Source organism: Homo sapiens, chromosome 8, assembly GCF_000001405.40.
Source record: "Homo sapiens chromosome 8, GRCh38.p14 Primary Assembly".
NCBI classification, from domain to species: domain Eukaryota; kingdom Metazoa; phylum Chordata; class Mammalia; order Primates; family Hominidae; genus Homo; species Homo sapiens.
Window position 1 is genome coordinate 90,209,981 of NC_000008.11, and position 9,557 is coordinate 90,219,537.

Here is a 9,557-nt window from a genome sequence, read left to right on the forward strand (position 1 = left end):
CCATAAAAAAGAAAGTTCATGTCCTTTGCAGGGACATGGATGAAGCTGGAAACCATCATTCTCAGCAAACTAACACAGGAACAGGAAACCAAACACCACGTGTTCTCAGTCATAAGTGGGAGTTGAACAATGAGGACATATGAGCCCAGGGAGGGGAACATCACACATCGGGCGGCCTGTCAGGAGGTAGGGACAAGGGGAGGGATAGCATTAGGAGAAATACCTAATGTAGATGACGGGTTGATGGGTGCAGTGAACCACCATGGCACATGTATACCTATGTAGCAAACCTTCATGTTCTGCACATGTATCCCAGAACTTAAAGTATAATAAATAAATAAATAAATAAATAAATAAATAAATAAATAAATGTTAACCTAAGAGTACACAACTATTGGTATTAGGACTATAGAGCACAATGGGCATGTTATATACCTAAATAATGCAATGATAGCAGTGCAAGTATATTTTGGGAGGTTAGAGAAAGTGTGAGAGTGCTAAAGCCTTCATGTTATGATATCTAAAATGAAACATGAGTATAAAAGCCATAACTGCAACCTTTTATTATTATTATTGCAATCTCATTCTCTTTTAATTTTAGAGAAATTCTTAAGAAATCATACTTTCGTAGTGAGAAAAACATTTGTTTGCAATTCAACAATCCTTTCAATTTTAGTTTTATTATTTAATTTAAATAAAATTTAATGTTAGAATTTATATATGATCTTGTTTTCATGAAAGATTTTCTCTCATTCTGTTTATCTTATTATAAATTATTTGAATATACATACTGAATGATAACTTGAACATTCACCAAATAACTGACAGTCATTTCTGTGTAATGGAATTTAGAATTACTTTAAAATTTTAACTTTTGTTCTTTTCAGCATTAATTTTTTATTGTAAACATAAATCAATTTTATACAAATAATGGAACATTTTCTCTTAAATAATAAATGCGACAAAATGTTAGTAGCTAAATGCGTTAATATATTTTTAAACTTCCAAAATTAAGAAAAAGATAATGGCTGGGTGTGCTGACTCATGCCTATAAATCCTAGCACTTTTGGAGGCTGAGGTGGGAGGATTGCTTGAGCCCAGGGAAGCCTGGGCAACAGGGCTGTCTCTACAAAAACTCAAAAAATGAGCCAAGCCTGGTGGTGTGCCTGTGCTCCCAGCTACACGGGAGGCTGAGGCAGGAGGATCACCTGAACCCAGTCATTTCAGGCTACAATGAGCCTTGTTCGCACCACTGCATTCCAGCCTGGGTGACAGAGCAACACCCTGTCTGAAAAAACAAACAAACAAAAAACTTTAAATATTTTTTTTCTATAAGTGTTTTAGTTTATTTTGTATTGCTGTAAAAAATACTTGAGACTGAGTAATTTCTTTATTTCTCTATGTTTTTTCTTTCTTTTTTTTTTTTTAGTTGAGGCAGTCTTACTATGTTGGCTGGGCTAGTCATGAACTACTGGGGTCAAGTGATCTTATTTCAAGTAGCTGGAACTACAGGCATGTGCCACTGCCTCTGGATTCAGGACTGCGTAATTTATAAGAAAAGAGACTTATCTATCTCCCAGTTCTGTGGGCTCAGAAGTTCAAGGGCATAGCCCTGGCTTCTGGCAAGGACATTCATACTGTGTCCCAACATGGAATAGTAAGTCAAAGCGGAAGCCGCTGGCATGTGCAAAGAGAAGAAATCCTGGCTTTATAACCACCCACTTTCATGGGAACGAATCTATTCTTGAGAGATGGAATCCAATCTCAGGAGAGCAAGAGCTTGCTCACTACTGTGAGAAGAGCACCAAGCCATTTATCAGGAATCTGCTCTTGTGACCTGAACAACTCCCACTAGGCTCCACCTCCCAACGCTGCCATACTGGGGATCAGACTTCCACATGAGTTTTGGTGGAGACAAACCAACCAGATCCAAACATAGCAACATGCTTTTTATTTTTATTTTTTTCAGAGGGTTTGTATAGGATAAATCTCCTAAAATTTTTATAGAAGGACTATGCAGCTATTACCTTTCCTCATTTTAAGAGTTTAAATATACTTCTGATTGATACAGGGATATTGATTCATCCTTCAGCATTCCTCTTCCTCTGGGTTACCTTCTTCCCATAAGCTCAGATCAGCGCCTACATTTCTGACATGCATTTGCAGATTCTTCTCCTGTAAGCACTTGCATCTATTTTTCTTAATTTCTCAGGTAGCTATTTTACCTGTATTTGGAAAGGTTCCCTTTTCCCTGACACCTCTACTATCTGAATCCATAAAAGCCTGAATTCTGACATGGGTGGAAGTCAGTGTGTAGGAAAATGGTATACTGGTGAGTTTCCTAATGCTTGCATCACATTTATAATTTAATAGGATGGGCCAGGTTTTGTAGTTAATAGATAGTTTTAAAAGATCTTAATCTATAAAATACAATGGTCACTCTTGAAGGTCTAATTCTTACATAAACTTTTTTGGGTTTATAATCATTATAATTTTTAAAAAATCTAGATTTTAATGTATAAGCCAATGTGGTTTGACTCCCAGTTCTACTATTTACAAAAGTGTAATCACTGGGAGATTTCTTAATCTCTTTGATTCTCAATTTTTAAAATCCATAAAGCGAGGATAATGCCTACCTCATAGTGTTGTTTTCTTGAGAATTCAATAAGCTAATATGTGGAATGTACATATTATTATGCACTTGGACCTAGAATATCTAAAAGTGAATTCAATGGTATAACTTTCTTTTAAAAATAAGTGTAATTGGGTAATTTATTTATCATTGTTAACTATTTTCAGTCATTACTCAAACAAATCTTGATTTCTAGGTCTGGGCTCAAACTCACCAAACCATCTTATCTTGGAAGTAGATAGAAAGATTGTTTACTATAGTGATGAAGAGCAGAGACTTAGAAGCAGACAGCATAGGATTGAATCTCTGTTTCTACCTTGACTTGCTCTACCTTATGAGCAAGTTGCTTAGCCTCTGTCTTGATTTTCCCATCTGAAAAATCATTATAGATAGTCCTTATGTCACAGGTTTGTTTGAAGTTTAAATAAGTTAGTCTTATAAAGTGCTTAGAATACTTTATGAGGTTATGTTGGATAGAAGAAAGATAGGTACCTCCAAGGAAGGGCCAATGTTAGCTTAGTTTGATATAAAAAGGGCCTCTAAACTTTTTTGACTTTGTGGCCATAACCCCTTCTTAAACACTATTCTCTCCTGTTTTGGCCCTTTGCTTCTCATCTTTCAGGTCATAGCTTAATCATTTTTTTTTCCCCATCAAGACTTATTGGATCTCACAGAGGAGGCTATTTGATAAAAGCATCCTTGAAGTCCATCTTCCCTTCTAACACATATATAAGCCCTGTGCAGGCAGAGATCAGAGTGTCTTGTTCACCATTGAAACTTGAGCACTTAGCACTGTGCCTGACAATATTTGTTTGAGAAAGAAGGAATACTCCTTTTCTTCACTCCCGTATGGGCTATTCATTAGGAGGCTAATAGATGCAAATAAAAGAGGGCTTGGGATTTCTCTTTCAGCCTTCTTACTCTCCAGAAAGACCTGAAATTCTCTCTGAATTCCTGCTGATTTCTCCTTGCCACAGACAGGCAAAGAGATTACAGTTTCACTTGATATCAACGGCTTTAACCCCCATGAGGGTTTCTTACCAGTTAAAGAAGTCATTTTTTTTCAGTCTCAAAAGTGAAAGAGATCTTTTATCCTAGTAGGAAAGTTACAGTTTGCTGTGTCTTCTTTGAGATTTAAGGTAGTTTACATGTAATCTCTTATCTGTTCAACTGAAGATATCCCTGGCAAGAAGCTCCCACATCTGAATCAGATTTCTGTTTTCTTACAGAGTGTCTTTCTGAAGAGCTGGAATTCCTTCAGAACAGGGATAGTAAATCAGAATTTAAGATGCTTGTTAGATGATATAGTCCCACAGTGGTTTTCTTGCAGGATTCAAATGACCTGATTATTTGTAGATATTATTGGCTTCTCATTCAGAAATGCTGCTCAGCAGGAACTTCTCTCAAACTCTTTCCTGTCATAAGGGAGGATCCTTGGAGAGGAAAGTGAAATAACTTGATGGCATTGAGATAATATGCAAATTAAGCATTCTTACACACTTGCTTTCAATCAACTATTTTATCGTCACTGAATAAGAAAGACAAATGGACATCATCATTTCAAAATATAAATGGATATAAATATGATCAAATATAACTTCATCATTATGATTCATAATCATGAGGCATCCACAGAGTAAAAGATATAGAAAAGAAATATGCCTTGGTTGTTCTGATTATTAAATCAGAACATATTGACCATAGCAACACATGCATATTCCACTTCAATAATGCTAAAATGCCTAAGGCAAGATAAATCCACAGGAAGATTCATCTCAGCTCACAAGGGTAAGGAGAGGAAAGCATCTGCAAAAGTCTCAATGTGAAGTGCCTGCCTTTGAAATTTGGAAACAAAACATCAAATATTTAACAACATTCAGATCCATCTATGGGGTCTAAATTTGGCCACATCTTATCCAGGTCAGTCCAGTGCTTACTGGCCATGACAAACTGATTTTTTAAAAGGAATGCTATTTGGGATTTGTGGAGCCACCCTAAAGATCAAAACCCTACTTAATCTGTGAATGACACAGGGTAGGTATCAACAATGTGACATGTCAAATTTATGTCTCCTTAATCCTTTTCTGTAAGAATGGTGTCAATTATTTTCCTTCTGTGTTCGTGTGTGTCAGATAGCCAGTCAGTCAACAGCATTTAATGAGCGTCCACTGTGTACTCTGGGGAGCTATAAAGGAAACAGCTCCTGTCCTTGAGGAGTTTATGATGAAATGGGAGAGATAAGGCAAACAAATGAAAAAATACGCAATGGTTGTCATAGAGTCTAGGGCTAGCCTTCTGATAAAACAACAACAACAAAAGACATTTAGGTTCTGTAATTTCTTTTGTTTGAAAGTTCAGAGGAAAATGTCACTTATTTTCAGAGGTTATTTAGAGGACTACCTAAACAAATATGAAGATTTATTTTAAGCATTTGAGAAAAACTCCTCAGATTTTTAAGTCAATATGCCTTTAGTACTATTAAGCTCTTTAGCAAGGTATCTTTAAATACCCACTCATAGATAGAAAATCCTGGCTTAGCTTTCTGAGGTTGAAACTGGAAGAAGGGGCAGTTTATCTGCTTTAAACATGTTGATATTTCTGTTTTCACAGTTTTGATGATACCAGCTAGTTTTTGATTAAATTGCATAGAAGTTACAAGTGGTAGGAGAGTGACGCTTTCCTGATTTTGTTTTCCCTGCATCAGTGAGAAAGATGAGATAAAAGTTTCTGGTTTCCTCAGTCTGATTTGTGGGCAGCTATTGCCAATAAGGGCCACCTGTAAGAGCTATGTGATTGCTCAGCATATGAATAGTTTCTACTGAAAGTATAGTCCTGACTTTTAGGAAGACTACTTTTTTTCTCATGCAAATATTTTAAACTTGTCCTCAGTGCCTTTCTGTCTGCCATCTGTCCCTTCTTCTCCTGTCTGAGGTGTTTCCTTGCCCTAGGATCAGTACTTCTAAGCTCTCCCACTGAGATGTTCTAATAATGGTCTGCCATTCTGAGGGAGTTTCTCCTTTTGAATATTCTCCCTCACTCCTCAATTCACTTATTTCTTCTATACAAATTGACAAGTTAGTGGACGCTAATTTATTAATGACTTAAATAGTGTATTATGACCTAATAGTTGCATCACAGTATGAATCTCTGAAAATGATATAAATCAGTTTCTATTATTGAAACTTTAATATTAACTGGATACCCGCGAGACATCTTTCAGTGTGAGAGGGCTTCTTTGGGGCTTGAATTATTGACCTCTGATTAGTCTTATTCCCAGAGTGGTGGGAGAACCACATCAAGATTTGGGATGGTAGAAAATTTAGGAAAACATTTTGTATATCCTCATATTTCCAGGAAAATTGTGTCACTTCCTTTGAACCCTCAATGGTTTGTTATCACAATCAGAATGAAGTCCACACTCTTCACTGTGGCCCTAAACTTTACTTCATTTGGCCTCTGCTCACTCCTCTGATCTCCTCTTCTCCAGTCTCTCCTTCCTTCACAAGGCCAAAGCCACCTTGACTTCTTCCAGTTCCTTGATTATCCTAGCTCTTTCATGCTCTGGAGACTCCAGAAATTCTCAAGGCCGAGACTTTCTAGGCATTCAGGTCATCGTGTCTAAATGAATTCCTTCTTACCTCCTCCATTATATTTTCTTTAAAGCACTTCTATCTTCTGGAATAAATGAAATTATTGTTACTCTGCTTATTTTACATTTTCGACCACTGAAATCTCTTGAAGGCTGAGACTTTATTTCATGATTGCTGTATTTTCAGGGTCCAGACTATACTAGGCAAATAGTAGATAATAAATATTTGATTAAAAATGTTGCCTAAATAATCATAGCTAGTATACAAATCATAGCTGAATTTAAGTTCAGGCTAAGAAAAGATAAAATACTTAAAATGATTGCTTCCTTATTGACAACCTGATTTTATATTATTGAAAAAAATACTTTATCACACTTCAATTCTTCTCAAAATGTTCGATATGGTGGAATATGAACACTTCTGCTCTTTGAATATCTTTAGTTCTTCATGGAAGAAACAGTGGAAGACTGACTACAAATTAGGAAATGCTAATAGCATCTGTTGGGAAGAAGAGTGTGTGGTGGATCATAGTGTAACTGGGAAGTTATTGAAAAATGACAGGAATGAAGCCAAAGAGAAGAGTCACTGCCCGGAAGCCTGTTGTAGTTAATGCACACAGCGTTCCCTTCTTTGTCCTCCAAGTCCCCTGAAACCAGCAGAGTGTGAAGTTTAGAGTTGAGGCTTGATTACACCAAACTCAAGTGTGAGCAGAAACAAAGACTGCGGGCAGAGAAGGCAGAAAGGGCAGAGGTGGCAAACACTAACTCTGGGTTGGCTGACAGTTGATTAAGACAGAGTCACAAGGGAGAAAAATTGCTTTTATTTGCTATGAGGATGACCAGTGCCCCACCTGGATGGACCCCAATCAAATATCCTAGAGTTGACTCTTACTTTTTGTCAGCTCCACAATAAACTGTGTTCTCCCTGTAATGACAGGCTAGATGGATTATTTTAAGGGTTTATGTACTCTTATGGAAATGGAAACAAAAGGACAAATGCAGGGTCTTTCTCCCTTGCTTGAACTCTTACTTGGTTACTTTTCTCCTCCCCTACCTCCACATCATTTTTTTTTTTTTTTGGTCTGTTTTGTTTGGAAGCCTTGTCTTACCAATTTCCAACCATTCTCACTTTCTTCAGCAATCTGTCTCTTTGTAGCCTTGCACTCAATGAGTGCTATAATTGGAAGAACTCTGTTAACTTGAAAGGTAAATAATGGTAACATTATTTTAATTTGTGTTTTTCTGATGACTCATGAGTTGAACATGGTTATAGTTTTGATCACTTCTTTCTTTCCTAGAGTATTACCTATTCCTATAATTGTCTTTTTTTGGAGTATTTCTATTTTTTCTTAACAGAGTTTAGTGCTTAGAATCATAGGCTCTCTAGCACCGATTTTCCGAGCATCATGCTGACTCTGTCACTTCTATGGGACACCAATGGGCAAGTTGCAGAATGACTGTGCCTCAGTTCTCATCTTTAAAATGGGTAATAGTAGATATGACTATGTCTCAGAGTAGTTGTGAGGAGTAATGAGATAAAATATATTAAGTGCTCACAACACTACCTGGCACATAGTATATGCTCCATAAATGTTATCTATTATTATTAGCTATTTAAATATTAAGGATATTATTTCCTTGTGGATCACTTTTTAAAAAATATCCTTCTTCATTTAATACTTGCCTCTTCCTTTTATCCAAGGTTTTAATCTTCAAATGTGTTAAACTTTAGGTGGCTGGATTTGTTGATCTTTAACTTTGCATTTTCCTTCAATGCTTTTGTGAGCAGAGAGTCTCCCTCAATGGCAATTTGTGAAAGAATAGATTTTCAGACGCTATTTCTATTTTTCTTTTCCTATTTATGATTTGTCAATTTCCTGCCATGTGTTTCAGTCCTCTTCATTCTTTTTTCCCTCATTTCCTTTATTTTTATTTTTGATTGTGACAGAATATATGTAACATATAATTTACCAGCTTAATCATTTTAAGTCAGGAGTGTAAAGTACATTCACACTGGTGTGCAATCAAAATCCAGAACTCATTTCATCCTGCAAAGCTGAAACTCTACCCCTCTTAAACAACAACCCCTCATTCCAACCTCCTCTCAGCCCCACTGGCAAGTGCCTTTCTACTTTCTGTCTCTACAAATTTAACTACTCTAAATACCTCTTATAAAGCGAATCATACAATATTTGTGTTTTCATGACTGGCTTATTTCACTTAGCACAGTCTCCTCAAGGTTTATACGTATGTAGCATGCATTATAATTTCATTTTTTTAAGGCTGAATAATATTTCATTGTATATGTAGATGTATAGACTACCTTTTGTTTATCCATTTTCTCATCAATTGGGCACTTGGGTTATTTTTACCTTTTGACTAATGTGATTAATGCTTCTATGAGCATATTTGTACAAACATCTCTATTAGACACTACTTTAAATTATTTTAGTTATACACCCAGAAACAGAATTGCTGGATCATATGGTAATTTTATTTTTAATTTTCTGAGAAACTGCCATACTGTTTTCCATAGTGGCTATATCATTTTACTTTCCCATCAACAGTGCACAAAAGTTCCAATTTCTCCACATCCTCACCAACACTGTTATTCAAATGTAATGGCAAAATAGAAGCATTTTTCGCACACAAAAAGAATAATACAATTTATTGTCCACATAACTGAAGTAAAAGAACTATTAAAGTTTGTGCTTTAGCAATAAGACAGTGAACTCAGGATGAAGGTGAGGGTCTAAGAATTTCTGAGTTGAACTACAGTTTTAGAACATGTATTGGTAAATTTACTTTAACATTAATCATAAAAATATAAATACCCCTTTTTAAAAGGGAAAAACTAGAACTATGAGCAATAACAAGATTTTGTGGGAAGTGTTCAATGGATAGTTAAAGCATTCTATGGAAATTCTCAGGATAACAAAAGAGATAATGAGTAGCAACAGTCCTGTTGGAAAAATTTACATTTGGTAAAATTTATAAATGTAGCATCTATCTGTAAGTCTGTTCTTTTTATAGTTGAATATATCCGTTCATATGGACATACCATATTTTGCTTCTCCATTAACAAGTTGATAGACATTTCAGTAGTCTCCAAATTTTGGCTATTATGAATGATGCTGTTACGAACATTCATGCACAAGTCTTTGTCTGGACACAGATTCTCATTTTTCTTGAGTATAGATCTAAGAGTGAAATTACTGGGTTATATAGTAAATAATAATTTTTGAGTAAACGTAGCATTTCACATTCCCACCAGCAATGCATGAGAGTTCCAGTTCTTACATTCTCGTCAGTCCTTGTTATTATTAGTCTTTGTTT

The 9,557-nt window shown here is 35.8% G+C and overlaps 1 annotated feature.

Moving 5' to 3' along the window:
* Window positions 5,148-5,787: an enhancer, noted in NCBI's record as "OCT4-NANOG hESC enhancer chr8:91227356-91227995 (GRCh37/hg19 assembly coordinates)". NCBI's record gives its function as "activates a minimal SCP1, AML or CMV promoter by ChIP-STARR-seq in naive and primed H9 embryonic stem cells {active_cell/tissue: H9 hESC(naive and primed)}" and the evidence as "EXISTENCE:reporter gene assay evidence [ECO:0000049][PMID:30033119]".